This window comes from Homo sapiens, chromosome 20 (assembly GCF_000001405.40).
Source record: "Homo sapiens chromosome 20, GRCh38.p14 Primary Assembly".
Classification (NCBI taxonomy): domain Eukaryota; kingdom Metazoa; phylum Chordata; class Mammalia; order Primates; family Hominidae; genus Homo; species Homo sapiens.
In genome coordinates, this window is record NC_000020.11 from 62005946 (window position 1) to 62029968 (window position 24023).

General features: G+C 53.0%; 1 protein-coding gene across 2 annotated transcripts in view, besides 4 other annotated features; it reads right to left on the reverse strand.

Moving 5' to 3' along the window:
• The window catches only part of TAF4 (TATA-box binding protein associated factor 4), a 91084-nt gene that overhangs the window by 31148 nt on the left and 35913 nt on the right, over nucleotides 1–24023 (reverse strand). For both annotated transcript variants that reach the window (NM_003185.4, XM_047440429.1), the window contains 6 exons: nucleotides 8602–8762; nucleotides 6870–6989; nucleotides 4101–4220; nucleotides 3107–3229; nucleotides 1602–1691; nucleotides 565–813 (listed from right to left, as the gene is read on the reverse strand). In NM_003185.4, coding sequence (NP_003176.2) covers nucleotides 565–813; nucleotides 1602–1691; nucleotides 3107–3229; nucleotides 4101–4220; nucleotides 6870–6989; nucleotides 8602–8762 — 863 coding nt within the window. The remainder of the gene's footprint in view (nucleotides 1–564; nucleotides 814–1601; nucleotides 1692–3106; nucleotides 3230–4100; nucleotides 4221–6869; nucleotides 6990–8601; nucleotides 8763–24023) is intronic.
• Nucleotides 8022–8523: an enhancer, noted in NCBI's record as "H3K4me1 hESC enhancer chr20:60589023-60589524 (GRCh37/hg19 assembly coordinates)". NCBI's record gives its function as "activates a minimal SCP1, AML or CMV promoter by ChIP-STARR-seq in naive H9 embryonic stem cells {active_cell/tissue: H9 hESC(naive)}" and the evidence as "EXISTENCE:reporter gene assay evidence [ECO:0000049][PMID:30033119]".
• Nucleotides 15696–16475: an enhancer, noted in NCBI's record as "H3K4me1 hESC enhancer chr20:60596697-60597476 (GRCh37/hg19 assembly coordinates)". NCBI's record gives its function as "activates a minimal SCP1, AML or CMV promoter by ChIP-STARR-seq in naive H9 embryonic stem cells {active_cell/tissue: H9 hESC(naive)}" and the evidence as "EXISTENCE:reporter gene assay evidence [ECO:0000049][PMID:30033119]".
• Nucleotides 16476–17253: an enhancer, noted in NCBI's record as "H3K4me1 hESC enhancer chr20:60597477-60598254 (GRCh37/hg19 assembly coordinates)". NCBI's record gives its function as "activates a minimal SCP1, AML or CMV promoter by ChIP-STARR-seq in naive H9 embryonic stem cells {active_cell/tissue: H9 hESC(naive)}" and the evidence as "EXISTENCE:reporter gene assay evidence [ECO:0000049][PMID:30033119]".
• Nucleotides 22060–22695: an enhancer, noted in NCBI's record as "H3K4me1 hESC enhancer chr20:60603061-60603696 (GRCh37/hg19 assembly coordinates)". NCBI's record gives its function as "activates a minimal SCP1, AML or CMV promoter by ChIP-STARR-seq in naive H9 embryonic stem cells {active_cell/tissue: H9 hESC(naive)}" and the evidence as "EXISTENCE:reporter gene assay evidence [ECO:0000049][PMID:30033119]".

The following is a 24023-nucleotide window of genomic DNA, read 5'->3' on the forward strand; positions in this document are numbered from 1 at the left end:
TGTAATTCTTCTGGCAAAGACATCCTTTCTCTAGCTGCAGAGCAAACGTCATGACTATAAAACCAAGAAAGCCAGATCCAAACTGCACATAAGTGAACCGCTATGAGCAGCCGCGGCTTCGCCTCCCGGGACTCACCTAAATCCACCCTGTGCTGTGAGCTGCTACCCTGCCTCCAGTCTCCTGCCCACCTGTCCCACGCAGGTGCCCGTGTCTTACGCTTGGACCGCTGCTCCTAATCCAAGAGAACATCTATCTACAAGATCCTCTAAAAGCACGCTGCATTCATTTACACCAGTAACATCCCCAGACAAGGCAGGGCGGGGACGTGCCGGTGGTTCAAAGCCAACTCAACTATTTCATTTTACTGAGACAAAATACAACATCCCAGGGCCTCAACCTCTGGTTTCTATTTTAACTATTTAAGGTAATACCCAAGCTTCCTCTAGCAGGAGGCTTCCTGCATGCTTGGAAAAGGTTTCTGAGCCGTGGCCAATTTATCTAAGAAGCGGGCGGGAGCAGAGGCACGGTGGGCTGTGCAGACCAGTCAGGCGCCCCTTCCATACCAGCGGTGTGGGTTGCCCCTGCTTGCCGACGCCGACCTGCGTGGGCTGCGTGAGGCTGAGCACAGGGGGCTGGAGGGCACTGGTCACGGTGGCCGCCGTCTTCCCGGCCGTGCGCTGGACCGAGCTACTCAGCACCACGGCCGTGAGCGCAGTGGTGGCCTGCGAGGTGGGCGGTGGCGGCTGCTGCTGGCTCTGCTGGATGAAGGCCGCGGAGTCGGGGGTCAGCTGTCTCAAGGCGGGTAAGCTCCTCTGGGTGGAAAGACAGACACGAGGGGTCAGGCGGCTGCTCATGCGTCGGTTTTCCTTGCTTAAAAATTCAGAAATATCAACTTTTACAGAAAGCTTTTGAGCTAAGTAAGATGGATCTTGGCCCTCACGGCAGCATGTCTGGATGTCAAGGGCCAGGACCCCATCCTGCCCTCCCACTAAGTGGGATTATTCCTGATAGCAAATGTCCAAAATGTGTTCAAGAAAACAAACAAAAAGAGACATATTTTTAAAAAACTTTTTAAAATATGTTAACATCACTGGAAGAGAAGATTCTGAATGTTCCCAACACATGGAAATAAGTACTCAAGGTGACAGACCCCAAATATCCTGATTCTATCTATGACTGTAACAAAACATCACATACACCTCATAAATGTGTACAAATATACGTATTGATTTTTAAAATGTGCTGATACCAATGATTACCCAACAGAGACAGCCTGACGCTGTTGAAACCCTTGGTCCTATCCAGTTTTGCAAACGCTACCCCATTCCCCGTCCCCTTCACTTTCAGGAAGCACACGCCCTTCTCACCACCTTGCGCACGACAGAACCACAAGGCCACCGTGTCAGGGGAGCTCCTGCTTTACAGAAAAAAAACTAACATTCTGTCCCCAGGCACTGAGTCCCCGGCCCCACCCCCGTAGGCAGCACAAGCGCTGTGCACCCTCCGTGCCTGGAGCATCCTCGCCCTGCACACTTGGTGCATCTGCGCCCCACCCCTCCCTGGCCCTACTGCTCGCAGGCACCGGGGCCTTTGAAATTACCTTCAGGAAAGGCACAAGGTAAGGTTGAGGTGAAGAATTAAGTTCTCGGTATAACCTGCTTGTGAAATCTTCTGCTTCTATTTTTCCATCCTTAAAAATAAAATCCATGTTGAAATTCTGGTGAATGAGATTCCACACACACTTCTGAATCCCGCATCACTCTGGTCTCGTATTTTACGGCTGATTCCGCCCCGAGTTTCACTGGACAGAGGAGATGGGAAAGTCTGCGTGCTACACCTTTCACAGGTACATGTGTGACAGGCGCTCACCCTGGACACTGCAGTGCAGCCAGCTGCGGACCACGTCTCCTCCTGGGAGGGTCACCTGTCTACTTCTCGTCTTTTTCTAAGTCTCTTACTCAATGCCAGTCTTTACTCAGTGCTTACCAGGCACCTACTCGGTGTCAGGCATTTTGCTAGGAGGCAGATCAGCCTAAAAGTAACTCCATTATCAAAGCCAGCACTGCAAGTGCGGTGCTGCAGGAGGTCACAGCGTGCCAGGGGCCACACAGACAGGATCCACACAGTCAGGGCATCCGCGCCTTCAGGAGCAGATGACAGCTGTGCTCACCCCTGCAAGCGGCCAGGGTGCCCAGAGTCTACAGTCAGACAAAAGGGAGCCCAGAGCAAGAGGGCCAGATCCTGTTTCAGAAACAGAGGCCAGTGTGGAATAAAGGTCGGGAAGACAGGCGACAAGGCGGGAAGGCGGTGCCTGGACTGAACCCTAAGAGACTCCGGAAGACATGGTCAGGCGGACAAGGAGAAGGCACGGTAAGACCAGCCACTCCAGATCCCCAGGCCATCCCACTGACGCCAGCACAGCCCTGAGCCACGAGACAGCCATGAGGCTGAGGAAGGTGGACAGCCGAGAGCTCGGCCATGAGTGGAGATCTGGAGCTTGGGACTGTGGGTTAAGGAGAGGGGAGGCTGCCAGGAATCCTCCCTCCCACCTTCCGGCCAGGGGACAGAGTGCTGTTCTCTGCGACAGAGGTTTCGGGAGGGGTGGGGGTGGGGGGGACGGCTCTGCCACTGGAGCGCGAATGTGCCTCAGCTGGTCTGCTCCATGGGGAGGGGGCTTCTGGTGGCTCAGGGTGCAGAATGCCTGTTCCAGCCGGGACTGCGGACACCTGGGAATTTTATAAGAGGTCACACAGGAGTGGGGAGAGGGCCAGAAGGGAGTTGCTGGAGACCCTGACCAGAGTGCAGCATGGTTGGGGCAGCCAGAGGAGAAGAGAGCCACAGACAAGGGACGCAGGCACCAGAAAACGGCAAAGCCCGGGAGACCTCCAGGCGCCGGCCCCAGAACACCCAGCCCCAGGAAGGAGTCTCCTTAGCTAGGCCACACACGCCTTCGACACGTGTGCACCCCTCCCCTTCGCCTGCAGCCTTCCAGAGGAGCTCTCCCTGCTGGCACAGGCCTCCCGGGCACAGGTCACAGCAGCAACAGGTGTCTGTCCTATGCAACAGGCTTTAGGGGAAAGGGAATGTAAAGTCAAGGTTTCTCACCAGTAAATTCTGCACGAGCTCTTTCACATTAGCTGCTGTCTCTGTAGACTGCTTGCCAGATGAAGCCAGTTTTATTAACGTAGATAGGAAATTTTTACATTTCTTCACGTTTTCCATAGTTTCCTGGATTAAAGTAAAAAGATATAAGTGAAAAATCTTAAAAGGCAGATTTTTGTCACAGCCTTTGGTTACTAAAATATGCATATGTACAAAAGATACATATATTTCTTCTCTAAACTTCTTTCAAGAAAACGCACCACCTCTTGGAACCCTGGGCCATGGGGCAGGCCAGCCACATCAGTCACATGGCCACCGAAGTCAGCATCTCCCTCAGCCCCGCAAGGCCACATCTAGGAATGCAGCTATGCAAATAATTAAAAAAGTGAAAAGAGACTCTGCGAAGATGCCTGCTACAATGTTGCTGACCATAAGGACAACCTATGCCAATCCAAACGGACACAGAAGGAACCAAATAGGATGCGGTCACTAAAGCAACGAAAAGTACGCAGCAAAGAAACACCAAAAAGGCGTCAAGTGGGGCCCACTGTTTAAAGATGTCTATCGATACAGGCCGACACTGTGTGTACAAACGGGTGGCGCTGCTGTTTTACACACTGAACACAACAGTTCACCAGTGACTCTTCTGTTTTAATAAAGATGTGTATCGATACAGGCCGACACTACGAGTGTGTACAAACGGGTGGCGCTGCTGTTTTACATACAACGCGACAGTGCACCAGTGACTTTTTCAAAGGCAGGTGTTTGGGCTTTTGCTGTTTGCAGACTTCTGCGGTCTAAGGCCCTCGGAGCCCACCTCACACAGCACAGCAGCAGAGCCCCACGTGCTCACGTGGGCCCCAGACTGTTCACTGCTTTGTGAAGCAAGCAGTGAGCGGTCTGGGACAGAAGCCGGCCTGAGGTCTCAAGGCTGCATTTTCTGACCTGCGCCACGGGCCTGACCGTCTTTGAAGGCACGGAAAGGAGTGGCTCTTACCGTGGCAGCTGAGGAAGTGGTGGTCGCCCCTGGTACCGTGCGCTGAGGAGTCCCCGTCTGAACAGCCGTCGCCGTCCCAAGTGAAGCCGTCTGGGCAGCGCCACCCAGAACGAGCTGAGGCTACAAGAATCCAAAAACACAAGGTAAGGGCATCTCACGCCACCAGCTGACGAGGGGGAGACCAGCCTCACGCCCAGCAAAAGAAAACAAGCCTCCCTGCGGTGGCCAGGACGCCCAGGAAGCCAAGGACCCCGGCCACCTGCCAGCCCGCTGGACACGGGAGTGCTGCTGGGAGGCCTGCCCTGTGCCCTGACGATCGCAGTCCTGAGCGGGTGAGGAAGGCATGATTTGCACCTGCATCAAAAACGGACGTTCACAAAGCCAGGCACTGCAGAGACCCCAGTCCTCAGAAGTCCATGGAAAAAGTCACATAGAGACCAGAGTAAATAATCCTAACAGGCAACCCAGATCCCCATCTCTCAGAAATCAAAACAACAAACAGAAGAACGGCTCCTGAAAGCTCCATCCTCCCAGGTGCAGAGGCTGGCTACAGGGCGGTCAGGGCTCCACAGCCGCAGCCTCCCATAGGGGAGGGTCCCCAGCTCCCTGCAATCACCCAAACCCACCTTTCTTTACTCCCCAAAAGTGAGTGTCAACAAGAAGCCTCCCACAGAGGGGAGTTTTCAGAGCAGATTCGAGCAATGGAGGATGGGTCATCAGTGTCAAACTGTCAGAAAGGAGGGGCTGCTTTGCTAAGCAAATGAACAGCCAGACGCCAAAAGGTAGCTCAGACAACTCAGTGGCCTGTACTCGATTCCTAACATTTCCATTCTACATGAATAATCAGAATGCAAATGTTTACTGATATTTTAAACTAGTACTTTTCCAATGTATAAATCTAGCAGTCAACATTTTCTGTCTCCAATTTTTTAAACACTCCTTTGCAACTTCTGAAAGCAGGGGGCAGTGTAAGCCTGAGAATGGCTCCGGAGCAGCGAGCTCTCTCCCGGTGGGTGCAGCCCCGCCAGCACGTGGGAAGCAACTCTGAACCAGCCCCGCTTCCAGAGGGGTGCGGATGGGCTGTGAGGAGGCAGCAGGGTGGAGGGACTGTTTCTAAGTCTGTGTATCTTTTCACTTGTAACAATAAGCATGGATTTTTTTTTTAACTGAAAAACATCAAATAAAAACCTCCAGTGAAGAAAACATAAAAGGACACACCAAGCTGCTGCTTCTGGACCCTGGGAGTACCCAGGACCCACCTCATCTTTTGGGAGTCTTCTTTCCCATCAAAACTGACTCCTCACACTTACTTCCACTCCTAAGAACACATATTTCACTCAGATGATATCCAGATTGTGTCTGCCACTAAGTATAATGCAAAAACTTAACCATAAGCTCCAACTACCTTCTCAAAAAAGTCACTGTAACCAAAAATCCAGACGCACCAATCAGAGCACAGGACTGAGCAAGCTCCTTCAGGGAAAACACCAAGGGCGGGGCCTGCACCAAAGGCCAGCACACATCTCCCTGGTACTGAACCGCCCTTCCACCCACTTTCACCCACTGCAGCTGCAGCCAGCCAGGACATGACCCAGTGAGGGTAGAAGAGCCGGGGTTGCGGGGGGAGCTGCCCCTGGAGTCCACACCCCCTGGGGCTCAGCCTCCATTTCACCACTGAGCAATGGGAAAAGGGCCTGTGGCACTGAGGCAAGGACTCTGGATCTCTCTGCAGAGCGTCCAGGCCCACTGCCTGGCTCATGGCAGGTGCTTCACCAGCAGCGACCAACACCATAGAGACCTACGCATCCACGGATGCTCACAGACACCAGGTGACCAAGAAAAACCCCTGAACCATTTTTCTCCCAGCTGCTTCCTGCTGACTGCCCAGAGAAAGCTGCTTCCCTCACCAGGTGCGTCTGACCGGCCAGCCCCTTCCCCTCCACACACCTCCGCCACCCCTTCCAGAACAGCCTGGCCTGCACACAAACCCTTCTGGGATCTGCAGGCCAAAGGCTGAGCTGTCAGGAGCATCAGCACCACTAGGAGAGGGGCCAGCACCTGCTCTGGGACACGCTCCTCTCTGCAGATGAAAACGCTGTTCTAGAAACCAGCGGCCACCAGGGTGGATACAGAACCCTTCTAGAACGATGCTCTCACTACAGACGAGGGATGTGAGCGGCAGGTGGCAGCGTGGCGTGGCAGGCACCGTGCAGGTGGCATGGCCGGGAGTGAGTCCCAGAGCCTCCCTTGCCTCAGTGTAAGCGCCGCACCACGAGATGAAGGGAGCGATGTCATCTGCTTCCCAGGGTGCGGTGAAAGTTACGGTCCATGTGCCTGCAACAGTGAGAGCGACGCCTCGGCCACGTTCACCTTAGCGACAGCCGCCGTCCTCAAGTTACACACAAGGCCACATGTGCACACACACACTGTCCTCACCGCAGGCTGCTTCTGCTTCAGACATGCCTTATGATCAAGTACTAGTAAGGACATAGTTTTAATGCTTCCAACATGGTGGAAAGCTTGAACAGTGCTGCTGGTGTTAAATTCTGTGTGACTAAAAAAAAGAAAAAAGAAAAAAAGAAATCCTGACTTATCCCATGTTGGTGGTCAAAGAAAAAGCACTTTCTTCACAGAGAACCTTCCTCCCCAGATTTGACGTAGTATCCAGTTTAAAAAAAAAAAAAAACTCCTAAGGCCTGATCTCTGCATCAAAGAAATCACACTTCGTGGCCCCTGCAGCCTCAAGAGATCCGCCGCCTGCCCTCTCACCTGGACGCCGGGCGAGCGCTGCAGGGTTGCACTGGGCTGCACCGTTGTCTGGGCCTGAGACACTTGCTTAATTATGGTAGTTGGGGTCACCTGCCGTGCAATGATAGGTGTTCCAGGTGCCTGAAAAATAAGCAGAGTCACCTAAAACGAGCGCAAGTAAAAGGAATTCCCACCCCCAGGTACACAGAAATTATTCCTTCCATATGTAACTAGTATATCCAAGTGGGTCCCAGGCTTATCCGTGATCTGCAATGAAGCCACTGTAATTCTAAAGTTTTCTTACCAAAGAACAAGTGTATGACAAACATTTTCCTATACTACAATAAACATATCATTAGGCTTCTTAACAGAGTCTACAAAAGGTCATCTCTGAAGAACGCAGGTATCTAGAAATCAATCCTCGTGCTGCTGGCTTGTGACCTCGTTAACAATCACTAAAAAGGATGCAAAGGCAGACGGCCAGTCAGTGTCGCAAAGGGGTAGGGAGGTGGCCGCCCCTAGGCTAGATGGCCAGTCAGTGCCAGAGAGGGGAAGGAAGGTGGCTGCCCAGGACAGAGGGACGCCACAAGTCCTGAGCCCATGAAGTTTGTCGGAGAGAGACTGACATGGAAAGAGCAGATGGCAGACTGCAATGGGATGCCCACAGTGCAAGTGAAGCCACGAGTGTCTTCCACAGTGTCCCACTCAGCAGACAGATGCTGCAGACTTGAGGACACCGTTCTGTGCTACTTCAGATCTGGGTGGTCTCTGGCAGCCTCCGGCACGTCCGTCCACGTCCCTGTCTATGGGACAGAGGCACAACTCCAGAGGGTACGCAGCTCACGTAGCAGGAGAAGGATGCTGATCAAGTCATTCCAGTCTTCACAAACCTGCCAGGTCATTCAGAGCAGCAGCATCACAGTGCCAGGGAAACACGGCAGGAGACGGGGCAGGAACACGCAGCGTGCGGGCACGTGCAGGTGACAGTCATGGGGCCAGACACAGACACACGCCGGGAGAGGCAAGTCCTGGGCACTCTGCCCTCCAAGTCAGAATCCGTGCTCCCTACCACAGCTCAGGGGTCGGGAGCTTCGGCCCTGAAGGCTGACGCGGGTGTGTGTGTGTGTGTGTGTGTGTGTGTGTGTGTGTGTGTGTGTGAATCCGTGCTCCCTACCACAGCTCAGGAGTCGGGAGCTTCGGCCCTGAAGGCTGACGCGGGGGTGTGGGTGTGTGTGTGTGTGTGTGTGTGTGTATGTGTGTGTGTGTGTGTGTCCCTCTGGCACCCCCTAACAGCAGCAGCCAACCCCACTCGCACACAGCGGCTCCAGGACTCTTGGTGCCTTAAAAGTCTCCATGCGGCGCTGGTGGCGGTCCTGCCAGTGGAGTCCTAGCACCATCTCTACTTTGCAGATGAGGGGACAGGCACAGGAAGGTGAAGCCACAGGGAGAGAAGGGAAGGGGCCAGAGCGGCCAACCCTGGACTGCTCACTTTGACCCCACTCGGCCCGCCCTGCAGTGGGCTGCGGGAGCTGGTGTCTCTGAGACAGGCACAGCCCTGCCACCGAGAGGAGGACAGGAGAGCAGCGCCGTCCCGGGCCCATCCTAGATGGGACGGATGGGACTGGGACGCCGCCCACACTTCCCAGTCCTCACTCCCATGGCTGTGCCTGGCCCTTGCAGGTTTCCCCAGCATGCGTGGGGAGAGGGGCTGGGCAGGGAAGGGGTTCGCACTCCAGGGCACACGTGCACTCACCTGTACGGTGGAGATCTGGACGGGAGGGGCACTTGTGGGGGTGGCAGGGCGAGGCGCCATGGTGGTCTGAGGCTGGGCATGGGCCTGCGCCTGCATCTGGGCCAAGGCCTGCTGAGGAATCATTAACAACTGCCCATTCTCACTTCGGACGAGGACCATTCCTGCAGACAAAGGAGACCTGGCGTCAGGAACGCAACCACCCCAGAGCCATGAGGAGGCCCTGGCCTGACCCAGGGGAAGCTGACAGCTGTGAGAAGGAAACAAAGGAAATCAAGTCTTAAACACACGAATCCCCCAAACTCAAAACACACTTGTGAGTCAAGATGGTATACAAGACAAAAAAACTGTAAAGGTTGTTAAAAGGCCATGGAAAAAAAATGGCACCTGAGCCTTCCTTTTATGAATGAGCTGGACAGCAAGGCAGTGTAGCAATGGCTTCCACCGGCCACACCACGTGCCCCCATGCCCCCAACCAGCCCATACACCCCACAGACATGCCAGTCTCCTTGCCCCCACCTCCTGCCTGTGCCAGGGCCACGTCCGCTGGGCTGGGCCTAGAGGGCACAACCATGTCTACGGCCCATACTCCAGGGTCTCCCAGCCTGCTGTCCTGTGACACCCAGACCCAACAGAGGGAGGGTGGGCCACGAGGCTCCTCACCAGAACCCTCCTCTCGGGAGGCAGGGCAGTGCTGCCCCCACACTGCCCTGACAACCACAACACAGGCGCAGATGCGACGCAACCCTTAGGACAGGAGAACCATTTGCCCGTCATGGTTCTTGAGCTAAACCACAGGAAAGCAAATCCTGCCATTCAGGTTTGGCATTAATGTTAGCTTCAAAAAACAGCAACCAGTTATATCATAAATTCCATTAGAAACAGCAACACAATTGTCCAACTTTTAAATTTAACTTCCCATGACAGAGGTGGGGATGCAGCCGTGGGAGCAGGGCTATAAACACTGCACTCTTTCCCGAGTGAAGCCTCGGCAGACAGCCCAGCACCAAGGAGCTGAGAAACTAAACACACGTGCAATGAGGCACCGCCACCGGCCGTCCCCACCACCCATCACACACTGGCCAAGCCACGGGGCACAGGGGGCGGCCACTGCGTTTCCCAGCCTCTCCTTCCTCCCCTTTATGGAGAATGGGAAATGATAACCTCGAAAAAGATGAAGTAAGGCCTGAAAACCTCCTGTTGGTCATGATGACAAATGAGCGTGGGGCTTCCTCCTCCTGCGCTATGACGCTGGGGCACTCTCAGGGCTGTCGGCTCCAGCTCTTTCGAAACTCAGCATGGTATCAAGAATAATGGTGATGCCTCTCCTGGGCTAACATCTAAAATTCTTGATCCAAAAAGCCACATTTATGCCCATTAAGAAAACTTCCCCCCAAAACGCCCCTTTCAAAATAAACCATGCTGAAATCAAACAAAAACCAAACACCCAGCTGCAGCAAATAACCTGCTGGAATCTCCAAGCCTGGAGCTCGGGAACGAAGTAACAGGAAAGGCCTCCAAGGCTCCGTCTCCGAGTCTGTGCCCACAGTGCCCAAGGACAGCCTTCAAAGCCAGGTGGGCACTCATCAGCCATGTGGCCGCCAGAGCTGCTGCGCGTAACGAGGGAGAGTTCCACTCTCACCCAAGCACACTCGGCGCCTGGGGACCCCAAAACAAGACACCTGGTAAATACCCCCATGTATGTGGTTATTATGGAGTGTCAACTTGATTGAAGAATGCAAAGTATTGTTCCTGGGTGTGTTTGTGAGGGTGTTGCCAAAGAAGGTTAACATTTGAGTCAGCGGACTGGAAGAGGCAGACCCAGCGTCAATGTGGCTGGGCACCATCTAATCAGCTGCCAGCGTGGCTAGAATAAAGCAGGCAGAGGAACGTGGAAGGACTGGACTGGCTGAGTCCTCCGGCCTCCATCTTTCTCCAGAGCTGGATGCTTCCTGCCCTGGAACTTCAGACTCCAAGTTCTTCAGCTTTTAGACTCCTGGCCTTACACCAGTGGTTTGCCAGGGGTTCTCAGGCCTTTGGCCACAGACTGAAGGCTGCACTGTCGGCTTCCCTACTTTTGAGATCTGGGGACTCAGACTGGCTTCCGGGCTCCTCAGGTGCACACAGCCTATTGAGGGACTTCACCTTGTGATCCTGAGAGTCAATTCTCCTAATAAACTCCCCTTCATAGATTCATCTCTCCTATTAGTTCTGTCCCTTTAGAGTACGCTAATACAATGTCCTCAAACCCAACACTTCATTCACTGCATTCGGAGACACCTTGCTCCTCCTCCTCAAGAATTCTGAGAAGCCAGGGTGAGTGTGGTGGCTCACACCTGAAATCCAGCACTTTAGGAGGCCAAGATGGAGGGATCACTTGAGGCTGGTTCGAGACCAGACTGGGCAATATAGTGAGACCCCATCTTTGCAAAAAAAAAATTTTTTTTTAATTAGCCAGGCGTGGTGGCACACCTGTAGTTCCAGCTACTTGGGAGGCTAGGGTGGGAGGATCATCTGAGTCCAGGAGCTGGAAGCTGCAGTGGGCTACCATCGCATCATCACACTCCAGCCTGGACCACAGAGTGAGACCCCATCTCCTAAAAACAAAAAAAAAAAATGTTTTTAAGGAATTCTGAGAAGCCAATAATGGACGCAGACTTAAGTGCACACATGGGAATGGGACGGAAACAGGACAAAGGAGGCTTCAGTGTCCGTCCCAGTGCCTCCACACCCAATGTCAAACCTGACATTCTCATAGTGAGTGAAGAGACTTTAATTATCAGGAGCTTTGTGCTTTAAAAAATTGCATCCAAGGCCAGGCACGGTGGCTCACGCCTGTAATCCCAGCACTTTGGGAGGCCAAGGCGGGTAGATCACGAGGTCAGGAGATAGAGACCATCCTGGCTAACACGGTGAAACCCCATCTCTACTAAAAATACAAAAAAAAAAAAAAATTAGCCAGGCATGGTGGCGGGCCCCTGTAGTCCCAGCTACTTGGGAGGCTGAGGCAGGAGAATGGCATTAACCTGGGAGGCAGAGCTTGCAGTGAGCTGAGATCGTGCCGCTGCACTCCAGTCTAGGCGACAGAGCGAGACTCCGTCTCAAAAAATTAAAATAATAATTTAAAAAAATTGCATCCAAAAAATTAGCCAGGTGTGGTGGTGCATGCCTGTAATCCAGCTACTTCAGAAGCTGAAGCAGAATCGCTTGAACCTGGGAGGCGGAGGTTGCAGTGAGCCGAGATTGCACCACTGCACTCCAGCCTGGACGACAGAGCAAGAGTCCACCTCAAAAAAAAAGAAAAAAAAAAGTATCCAGATATATTTAAAGGAATACGTTCAAAAAAAAAAGTATTAACAAAATAGCAATGTGGTTAAAATTCTAACAAAATAAAAGTGGCATTCTGGACATCACAGAAGTGTAGGGAAACAGCCATGGGTCACTGTGAAAATGTGCCCTGTGGTCGGGCCCAGTGTCCCTTGTGGTCAGGAAAGTTGGAGAAGGAATCAAACGTCCCACAAGAAGTGACCATGTGACTTCAGGCAGGTACAACGTAGCTTCTCGAGGCATTGAAAATATCTGTGAACCAAGCGCGAGTGGCCACGTCTCCTAAGCCGAACTGAGGTTTGCTTCCAACAAACAGCACATAAGAGGCGCTGTCACTGGGGACTTTCTTGTCCGCCTCCCTGGTTATTGTATCACAGCCTGACTGTACCAAAAAGCAAAGTCAGACACTGTGTGATGATCTGAGGACACTCAGAACACCAACGGCTGCATCCACGCCATGTTTCCGAGAGGTTCTCACAGTTCTGGGTCCTGTGAGCTCTGTTTACGGACAAATAATCCAGCAGCATCTATTCACGCCAAGGCAAAGAAGTGCAACTCCGTCTCAAGACATAACTAATTTAAGAGTAATCAACCGTGGTTACGGGCGGCACCTGACCTACGAAAGGCAGCCGCCCCTCCTGCCTCTACTCCTCTCTCTGCACTTGCAGCAGGGTACACGTGGCAGGTGTGGCCCCCACCCCGCCCCACAGATGGGACCCCAAGGCCAGGGCGGAGGGTTCTGTCTGAGAGCTCCCCAGAGAGAGCCACGTGGGACACTGGCCGTGTCCCCACCCAGGTCTTTGTGAGGAATGCAGAGAGGAGCCAAGGATGACAGGGAGCAGGGCTCTCGGATACAGAGGCACAACCGGCTCCACGCACCCAGCCCTCGAGTCAGGGAGGAAGCAGTCAAACCTGCAACAAGAAACACGACATCCGTCCCAAAGACCCTCAGCATCCTCGTCCAACCAAGATGGGCAATTCCAGGTGGTGACGGGATGGGGCATAGCCCTGAAGGTCATTAACAGTTAAGGTCAGGAAGCTGGGGCCTGGGACCCTGCCTCCTGACCGGGCCACTGTGGCCACCGCCGCCTCCCCCGCAACCTCCCCAGCTCACAGCCCCTCTCTCTGCCCCACCCCACCTTCCTGGAGACTCCTTCATGGCACAGCCAAAACCCCACACCAGCCAATGTGCACATACAACCACCACAATGGGTCAGGGTCCAGCTAACAGAACCGCACTGGGGCTTCCAATTGTCCTAATATCTTCCTTACCACAGAAAGAAGTGTTCTTCACAGAAAGTTTAATAAGTGCAGAGAAGTACAAGAACAATGGAAACCTCCTGAAGCCCCTCTCCTGGCTGGCACAGCTCAGGTGCCACTCAGTGTGCACCGTGCACTTGGAAGCCGTAAGGACCACGGAGGCCACCCGCCCGAGTTCCCTGCCAGCTCCCCCGTTCCCTGCCCGCTCCCCGGGCGCACTTCCCATGGCAGTAAACATTCTTCAGAAACGTAACTGTCCGTGGCTACATACTATTTCATCCAAATTGTGTTTATAATTTCCTTCTGGTGAAGATTTAAGCTATTTTCTATTTTTCATTATGGTGAAAATGTAGGTTTTGAAACTGAAACAGTGTGAAACTCTCCACTCTCCCAGCGGTTCAAGGCCACACTGCTTGAGGCGGGCAATGCAGAGCCAGCAGTGGCCACGAGACGCCTCCCTGGGGAAGGAGCAGCGTGCACTCCTCCAAAGCCTGGCCAGTGGCCAGTGGTGACCAGTGGTGACCAGTGCCTCCCCCAGAGCCTTCCAGGGACCCACGTCCCCAGCTCAGCATGCCGCCACCGATTCCCACAGTGTGAGTGAATCCCACCCTCCCTGAGGAGAAACACCAGGGTTCTTACCCCACACAACAGTTTTCCTGATTCCTTTTGTAGGTAACACTTTTACTGTACTTGAAGCCAAAATGTAGAGCATGCGAAGCTGTGCCACAACCACACGGGCACCTGCACCCTGGGAACCCCCACCTGTGGGGGAAATGCCTTTGCCGGGTGCCGCAGGCCGCCCCGCACTCTCAGCACAAACCCCGGCCCTGGGCCTGGGGCTGTGGACTCCGCCCTGGCCTCCTGAGGCCCAGCCCCGGCTACCTCTTGGCCCTGCACCACCCGCCCTGGCTTGGCTCTGTCTGTGGCTCTCCTGTGTAGCCCAGGTCAGGACACATCCCTCCACAGGGGTCCATGTTCACCTCTGCCAAACCCAGGGCTGTGACCATCCTGCTATGCAAGTCACTCCGGAGCATGGCACCAGCCCCAGCCCCAGCCCAGGACGACAGGCCCCTGTGGATTCTCAGAGGGGCATTTCCTCCCTCCCAACGCACAGGACAGGCTGCAGGCACCGCTGTGCCCTCTGCCGGTGGGGGGGCTCTTTCTGGTCCTGAGGGGCTCTCAGCCCCAGCTCTCCTCCTGAGGCTACAGGACTCTCTGGCACAAGCATCAGGGGCACGGAGCCAGGCGCTGAACAGTCGCCCCTGCCAGCCCACGGGGACACAAGGTCCCAACCCTCAGCTGCTGTCCAGCTCCACGTCTGAGCCCTGCTGGTTTTCCTTATCTTCTAGAACGCTAAACTCTTCATTTAAAAGAACATTTATCCAACTTCCCCAGCCTTTCTGGGTGTCTGGTAATGGGAAGCTTTGTTAGGACTTCTGTCCCATCTCACCGTCATGTCGCAGCTCAATACCAGCCCCTCCACCAGATGGGCAAACAGCCAGGGACCACCAGCCACCTGAGGAAGGCCCAGCATCAACCCAGACACCAAAGCAGTGAACTGATCAAAATAAGCAAGAAACCCTCTTCAAAATCACAAAGATTATCCAATACGACAGTCAAATTAAAAATTCCTGGGATGACCAGACGACAGCACCGAGGCATTCCCCCTGAATACAGTATAGAAAAAGAGAGTGGAAACTTGGAAGAACAGATGAGAAAATGTGAAGGAGCATTCCAGAAAACACAACAGGTGATCAACAGAAATTCTAGGAGGACAGAAAGGACAGCAGTTGCTGGAGCCAGCGTGAACATGAGGAAGGAGGCGCACACCAGCCTCACCACAGAAGCCAGACCACTGGGAAGGAAAGACCTTCCCCGTGTTTCCAGGGGAAAAACACAGATCCCAGCCACAGTACGGGGAAGGAGAGCTCAGCAGCCCTGAGAGCTCCACAGAAACGGGAAGAGATGGCCAGCACCTTCGAAACCCCCCGGGAAATTACCTTCCACCTGGAACTCAACGCCAGGCCAAACCACCCACCAAGGCTCAGAGGCAAAAAAAGGCATTTCAGACACACTAGGTCTCAAAAAAGGTATATTCTGTAAGAAGGGAGAAGCCACTTAAACAAGGGAATAAGTGAAGAAAACAAAAGACAGGATCCAGGAAACATGGGACTGAACCCCAAGGAAACAAGGGGACTCTCAAGGATGAAGCAGAAGGGAGGAACAGGCATGGCCAGGCACAGGGTCCGGAGGGCCAGGGCGCTGGGGCTGGCCACAGGGCAGTAAGCACCTGGGAACCCACAGCCCTTCTAGCTGCTGAGACACAGCTGCCTGCACAGGGAGCAGAAGCAGCACAGCACTTGGCTCGACTCAAACAGCGTGTTCACAGCCAAGGGCCGTGCGCGCCCAACGCGGAGTCGGCCAGGGCTGCGTGGGCTGGGCCGGGGCTCTGCGGACTGCGGCTGGGCAGCCAGACGGTCGCTAGCTGACACTCACTCGGCAACCTCAGGAGGTGGCTGTACAGGCAGGGCCATGTGGATACACGTTCCAAAGTGGTCCCCTCTGAGAGGCAGTTAAAAGGGGGTGGGTGGGCCAGCAGAGTTTGTTTCTCACTGAAAGCTCTGCTCTTCAAAACAGGCATATGATTAAAGTTCTATACTTTTTTTTTTGAAACAGAGTCTCACTTAAAGTTTTACATTTTTAAATATTTAAAAAAAGAAAAAAAAAGACAGCCGGCACCTCAGACGGCGACAGAGAGGCACTGTGTGCAGTGGCCGCTCTGTGAGTGAGTGCATCCCTGGGGAGCAGGGCAGGTCCAAAGCCCGGGAGGGCGCTCCGAAACTCAGGCACACAGCGGCCAGCGGCGGACAGCATCAGAGGCGGAGCGGGCCCTCCAGGCCCGCCAAGGTCTTAGAGGGGCAAGAACACCCCAGGATGGACCCCTGGGGACACAAATCTAAGAAAATCCCTCCCTCCCTTTCCCAGCTGTATTTATAATGGTATCACGAAAGTGTCTGCGCCGTGGAGACCTGTGCAGTCAGGAGGTGGGTGGGCCTGCGATGGTTTCTGTCCAGGAAAACGCAGAGGACAGCTGTGCTGTCAGTCAGCTGCCCTGGGCCTCACTCTTCACCCAAGCATGGAGAGGTGGGAAGGGTCAGGGCTGGCTGCAGAATAAAGGCAGCCCCTCTGGAAGGCCCAGAAAACACAAACGGAGCCACCAGCAGGCAGCCTCATCCCCAGCAGAGAGGAGCATGGTCCTCAAGGAATAAGCTACCAAAAGGGCCAAAGAGATGAGCAAAAGTGGTGTTTCCCTGCAGTGGAAAGGGGTGGTCTGAAGCCTGAGGGTTTGCAGGCCCACTTCCCTCTGTAACTAGGACATTCGAACCCTCTCCATGCTACCAGCTGGGACCAGTGGTGGACAGAACACACGTGGTGATGGCCCAGATGTGGAAAGGGCCCCTCCAGAATCCAGCGTGCGCTCCTTACACAGGCTGGCTTTCTCTCTAAGCGGGTGCTGTGCTGTGACAGATGCACAGCCTCATCTTCCTTCTAACCTGTTCTGGCTAAAGCAAGTGTTCTCTCCCACCTCTCGGGGTTTGGCAGGCATAAGGGACGGCGCAAAGCAGCACAGGGGAACATGTGCTGCCCGGCGCAGGCGCTACCACCACTGTAACCCGAATATTTTGCTAAAAATTAAACTTCTGACGCAGCTCCTGGTCCAGCACTTGCAGCCCCCCCCCCGCACATTGCAGATACTATTGTAAAATCATGAACTTTGATTCATCCTCCCCTAAAACTACAAAATGCTGATTAAAACAAAAATGCGAGCAAGTGAAGGGACGTGCACTGTGTTCATGGGTCAGGAGACTCACAATAGTTAAGATGTCAACTCCTCCCAAACTGATCTGCAGAAGCAATGCATCCCAAAGTCCCAGCAGCCTCCTGTGTAGAAACTGACAAGGTGATTCTGAAATTCATACAGAAATGCAAAAGTCTTAGATTAACCAACACAACTGTAAAAAAAGGTCAGGCTGGCCGCAGTGGCTCACGCCTGTCATCCCAGCACTTCAGGAGGCCAAGGCGGGCAGATCATTTGAGCCCAGGAGTTCGAGACCAGCCAGGCCAACATGGTGAATCCCTGTCTCTACTAAAAACACAAAAAATTAGTTGGGCATGGTGGTGCACCCCTGTAGTGGAGGCTGAGGCACGAGAATCGCTTGAACCAGAGAGGCGAAGGTTGCAGTGAGCCAAGAGCACACCACTGCAGTCCAGCCTGGGTAACAGAATGAGACTCCCTCTCAAACCAAACAAACCAGAAAAAGTCAGAGAGCTGACACGAGCTGATCTCAAGATGCATTAGAAAGCTCAGCACTTCGGAAGGCCGAGGCGGGGAGACTGCTTGGGCTCAGGAGTTCGAGACCAGCCTGGCCAACATGGTGAAACCCTGTCTCTACTAAAAATACAAAAATTAGCTGGGCGTGGTGGCGCACACCTGTAATCCCAGCTACTCGCCAGGCTGAGGCAGGAGAATCGCTTGAAGCCGGGAGGTGGAGGTTGCAGTGAGCCGAGACCATGCCACTGCACTCCAGCCTGGGCAACAGAGCAAGACTCCATCTCAAAAAAAAAAAAAAAAAAAAAAAGAAAGAAAGAAAGAAAAAGAAAGCTCCAGTAATCTCAGGGCCGGGCTCACACCTGTAATCCCAGCACTCTGGGAGGCCAAGGCAGGCGGATCGCCTGAGGTCAGGAGTTCAAGACCAGCCTGGGAAACATGGTGAAGTCCCATCTCTACTAAAAATACAAAAATTAGACGGTGTGGGCACGCCTGTGGTCCCAGCTACTCAGGAGGCTGAGGTGGGAAGACTGCTTGAGCCCGGGACACAGAGACTGCAGTGAGCCGAGATCACCCCACTACACTCCAACCTGGGTGACACAGTGAGATCCCCGTCTAAAAAAAGCTCCAGTAACCAGGACAGCACAGTGTTGGTGCAAAGTTAAACAGATCAACACGGCCGTGCAGAGTCCACAAGCAGGCCCACACGCGGATGGACAAAGGCAATTCAGTGGTGAGGACGGGCTTCTCACATGCTGGAACAACTGGACAGACACAGGCAAACCCCTGGACCGACACCCCATAGTGTGTACCAACATCAACTCAAAATGGATCCAGACCTAAATGTAAAACCTAAAACTTCCAGAAGAAAACAGGAGAACATTTCTCTGACCCAGGGTTAGGCAAAGAAATTTTAGAAACAACATCAGAAACGAAATGCATAAAAGAACAAAAGGATAAACTGGACTTCATCAAAATGTTAAACTTCGGCTTTTCAGCAGACACTGCTAGAGAATGAGAAGACAAGGCACAGAACGGACAGACTCTTTAGAAAGCATCCATCTAATAAAGGGCTTGGATCCAGAATGTATGCAGAATCCTCAAAACTCAGTAAGAAAATAACCCAGGTTGGGCGTGGTGGCTCATGCCTGTAATCCCAGCACTTTGGGAGGCCGAGGAGGACAGATCACTTGAGGTCAGGAGTTCGAGACCAGCTTGGCCAACATGGCGAAACCCCATCTCTACTAAAAATACAAAAAATTAGCAGGGCGTGGTGGTGCACACCTCTAGTCCTAGCTACTTGGGAGGCTGAGGCACGAAAATCGCGTGAACCCAGGAGGCGGAGCTTACAGTGAGCCGAGATCATGCCACTGCACTCCAGCCCAGGCAACACTGAGAGACTCCGCGTCTCAAAAAAAAAAAAAGTGGGCAATTGAATAGACCCTTCGCCAAAGGTGGCAGACGGATGCAAATGAGCACACGGAGAGAGCCCCAACATCATTAGTCATTAGGGAGACATAAATTAAATCCTTAAAGCGACACCACTACACACTCACTAAAATAGCTAAAACTAAAAAGATCAGGTGCTCTCCAGGATGTGGAGCAACCAGAGCTCCTGGGCACCACTGGTGGGAGCCTCTCTGACAACAGCCCTGCAGTTTTGTAGAAAGTTAAACATACTCCTCATGTAGGACCTGCCATTCCACCTGAGGTGTTTTAAGCAAGCGAAAGGCAAGTGTGTGGCCTTACAAAGGCTTGTACCTGGGTCATTCCAAGCAGTTTTATTTCTGATAGCCATAAATTGGAAGCAACTCCAAAGTACACCAAAGGATGAAAGCATAAACAATTTCTGGTGTATCTATAATGGAAAAGCACTCAAATAAAATGGGATGAACTACTGATACAGCACAGATGACTCTCAAATAATCACACCGAGTTGAAGCCAGAAAAGAGAGAGTACACACCATGTGATATGGCTTGGCTCCGTGTCCCCACCAAACCTCATTTCCAACTGTAATCCCCACGTGTGGAGGGAGGGAAGTGACTGGATCATGGGGACAGCTTCCCCCAGGCGGTTCTCATGATAGCGAGTGAGTTCTCACGACATCTGGTGGCTTCATAAATGGCAGTTTCCTCTGCCCTCCTGTCTCTCCTGCCGCCATGTGAAGAAGGTACTTGCTTCCCCTTCGCCTTCTGCCATGATTGTCCCCAGTCATGTGGAACTGTGAGTCAATTCAACCTCTTTCCTTTATAAGTCACCCAGCCTTGGGTATTTTTTTATAGCAATGTAAGAACAGACTACTACGCTGTCTGACTGCATTTATATAAAATTCTAAAACACACAGACTCCCCTGCAGTGACAGAAAGCAGATGGGACAAGGGGCGTGGGAGGGACAGGAAGGAGGGCTAGAGAGAGGCAGAGGCCGTGCTGGGGGTAGGGTTCACCATGCTGACCCTGGGGTGATGGCTCCACGTGCATGCACATTTGTCGAAACTCACCAGTCACTTTACATGTGCTCAGTTTATTGCTGTGGATCACACCCCAGTAAAGCTCTTAAAACACACGCAGAGAGCCCTTAGAGAGCAAGAAAAAGGTACAACCCTCCCGGCAAAAAATAACGGAAAGCATAGTTTTAATCCTCTTCCTCCCAACGTCCTTCCCGAGTGAAAATAACTGCCAAGTTCACAGCTAGCACACGACCTTCCCCCACCAGCCCTGCCTCTTAAGAACACTAGGAGCTGCCCGAGAGTCGTATTAACAACTCTGTTCACCACCACACACAAAAACCAGGCCACGTTCAATGAGTTTTACTCTACCTGACCCCGTGAGCAACACAGGGACGTGAGTGTGCTGTCGATGGCACCCCAAGCGATCACACCCTCCACCACACTGCCTTTTTAACAGAGTATCTCACTGAGTAGCTCGGAGCATGAAACAGCTGCAGGGGTTCTCAGCTCCCAGCCTCCGAATGAAAGTGCGTGCTCAAGTCTCTGAAAAATAACACCAAGCTAGCTCCTTTGATGGAAAAGGGATCCCCCAAAATGACGCAGAAGGAACCGTGGTCAGGCCTGAGGAGCAGGCCACAAAGTACCAGCTCTGTGGGAGCTGGCTCCAGCCCCCATCTCCACAAAGCCGCAGGTGGACAGACTGCGCGCACCCTCCACACCCTCTGGAAAGCCAGGCTCCGCAGAAACACGAATCCAGCAGGCCACACTCGGCACAGGAAAGAGCAGCCTCTCCTGAAGGATCAGCAGCTCTGCTCCGCAGGCAGAAATGGGGCCTCCACCAACCCACCCACGGCTTGCTGCCGCCCCGTGAGTGGAGAGCTGGGCCCAACACTCTCCCCCGGGCTCTGATTCTAGGATTTATCCTTATTCCTTAGGTGGTCTGCACAGCAGTCAGCCAACTCAGCATCCCCTCATCATTTGGCCAAATTTCACAAATACGCAGTTGCTCACCTTAGAGCAAAGTTAAAACACCAACCCGTGGAGACTTCTACTCATGATTTGTTTCACTCGTTAATTCCTCTGCGACTCAACAGGAATGCTTACCCTCGTGCCTGTGTACAAAAGAGCTACGTGCAAATCAACACAAAAGAAATGGCAACAATACACCAAACTCCGAGTGAGAAGTTCACCCTGAAGTTTAAAGACTGTCTTTCACCTCAAAATGCAGAGGCACTGCAAAAGTGCATCTGTAGTGATGGCCAGATGTGGCTCTCAGGGCCCAGTGCAGAAACCTGGAGTGGAATGAAGTTTGGGAAGAAGCCAGCCTCGCAGCCCTGAGAGCCGAGCAGCGTCGTCAAAAGAGCAAGGTGCAAACCCTAAACGGGCACTGTGACTGATGGGACTTGCCCCTGGAAAACCTTCACCCAGCCTTCAGCATCGGCCTACACAGTCCCTCCTCCCCCTTGGCATTATCACAGTTGCAATTCGGTGACTGTTTTGTGATTTAGTCATTCCCTAACGTCTGTCTCCCCCCTCAACGCAAGCTCCCTGGGCTCAGGGATTAAATCTCTTAAGTTCACACAAATGAACAGATTGGAGAAAAGTTTAGTGAATGCACAGGTGTGCTGTGCCTACCCCAGGCCCATCCTCTCCCACCGTATATGCTAATTCCTTACCTGTCTCCGTTTCTCCTGCCAACCACAAAACCATACTACTGGAACTGTGTCAAATTTATCCATTTTCAGAACAGGATAAAATAACCTTGGCAAATAATTAATTTTCTGCATTGGATTCCTAAAAAAATCATTAACTTTACCTCACAAACATCTAAATCACATATTCATTCAAGAGGTGTTTATGCAACACTGACTGTCACCAAGCCCTCAACACACAACGGAGGGCACAGCAGGCATGGCCCACATCGCTCCATGCGCACGGGGCAAAGAAACAGTGACTGAGAAACAGCCTCCCGCCTGCCCCTTGACCCCTCTCAGTTCCCTGCTGGGTGGGCTGCTCTCCCCTCACCTCGGCGGCCTAGGTCGTGCAACCAGTCAGCCAGGCCAGGAGTTGTATCATTCTGAATTGCATTTTCCAGGTTGTAAAAGCAGCTTCTAAGCCATCTGATTGCTCACAGCCACCTCTCCATGGTGCAGGGTCCCACACGTGCTCTGCTCCTGCAGCTGAGCCTCCCTAAAGCACTGAGCAGAGGCCTGGACACCCAGGAGCCGCACCTGCTCTGGGATGCTGGAGGTGCTAAGGGGGGCCGGTCAGAGTGACCAACAGGGACAGACCCACCCAACACACGGGTTCTGGCCTTTTTGCCTACCAGGGCTTCTGGAAACTCAAACATACCCCCCAAAAAAATGCTACCTCCTTGAATTGAATTCTCTTTAAGTTAACTTTAAATGGCTGAGGTATTTTGGTAAAAATACTTCAGGATATTACAGTTGACCTTTGAAAAACATGGGTCAAACTTCCAGGGTCCACTTACATGCAGATTTTTTTCAACCAAGCAAGGACTGAAGATACGGCATTGACAGGACATGAAACCCACGTACACAGAGGGCTGACGTTTTGCTCGCTTGGGTTCCACAGGGAACTTGTATGTGCGTACGGGGCCCTGGAACCATCCCGAGAACACTGCGGGGCGACTGTATCTGGCGCCATCACTTTAGGAAATTCTTAGCACATGGACACACCTCCGTGAACAGGTACAGTGCACATGCGTGTCTGTCAAGCCACAGCCTGGGAGCAGAGCCCTGCTGCAAACTTCAACCCAAAGCTGCTTCTAAAAAGCTCGTGAGCAGCCTTCAGTGAGGCTGGCATCCACCTGACCTCCAACACAGATCTCCTTCCCGACAGTGAGCTCACATTCAGGAGTGCCATAAAGCACCTGCCTAAGCCTCCAATGATACTCAACAAAGGCACAGGCTTGCATCCCATAAATACCAACCCCTGTGTCAGCTACAGGTTAAAACTGCTTTGCTCAAAACTTAGGAATTCATGGGCCAGGCGCAGTGGCTCACACCTGTAATCCCAGCACTTTGGGAGGCCAAGGCAGGCGGATCACGAGGTCAGGAGATCGAGACCATCCTGGCTAACATAGTGAAAACCCGTCTCCACTAAAAATACAAAAAATTAGCCGGGCACGGTGGTGGGCGCCTGTAGTCCCAGCTACTCAGGAGGCTGAGGCAGGAGAATGGTGTGAACCCAGGAGGCAGAGGTTGCAGTGACCCAAGATCGCGCCACTGCACTCTAGCCTGGGCGACAGAGCGAGACTCTGTCTCAAAAAAAAAAAAAAAAACTTAGGAATTAATGGATCTAGGGAAGGTGTACATAGCTGTTTGTTGTACTCATTCTTTTAAGTTTGAAATTTTGCAAGATAAAACTCGGAGGCAAGGACTGTTTTGCTATCTAGACATGCAACTCTGTGTGATAATCTCCACTTGGGGGCGGTGGGCAAGTGGAGTAACAAGGTAAACAGTGGGACTCCTGGTAAACTCTGACACAGAAGCCCTTCGAAGGGAGCCCTGCTAGCTCTGCAGCACCAGGGCCCAGTGCCCACGTGCGCGCGCGCGCACACACACACACACACACACTCATACATGCACACTCCATCCAATCACCTGTACTTGGGGCTGCCGTGGTGGGGCGGGGTAAGGAAGGCCTGACTCCTGGCCTCCAGGAGCTGACAGTCTGGTAAAGAATGGGAATGCAGGCTGGGAGTGGTGGCTCACGCCTGTAATCCCAGCACTCTGGGAGGCCGAGGCAGGCGGATCACGAGGTCAGGAGATCGAGACCAGCCTGGCCAACATGACGAAACCCCGCCTCTACTAAACATACAAAAATTAGCTGGGCGTGGGAGCACACACCTGTAATCCCAGCTACTTGGGAGGCTGAGGCAAGAGAATCGCTTGAACCCGGGAGTCGGAGCTTGCGGTGAGCCGAGATCGCGCCACTGCACTCCAGCCTGGTGACACGGCAAGACTCCGTCTCAAAAAAAACAAAAAAAAGAATGGCAGGCACAGGTAACCCACAGTGGTCAGGGGAAGCCTCAGGG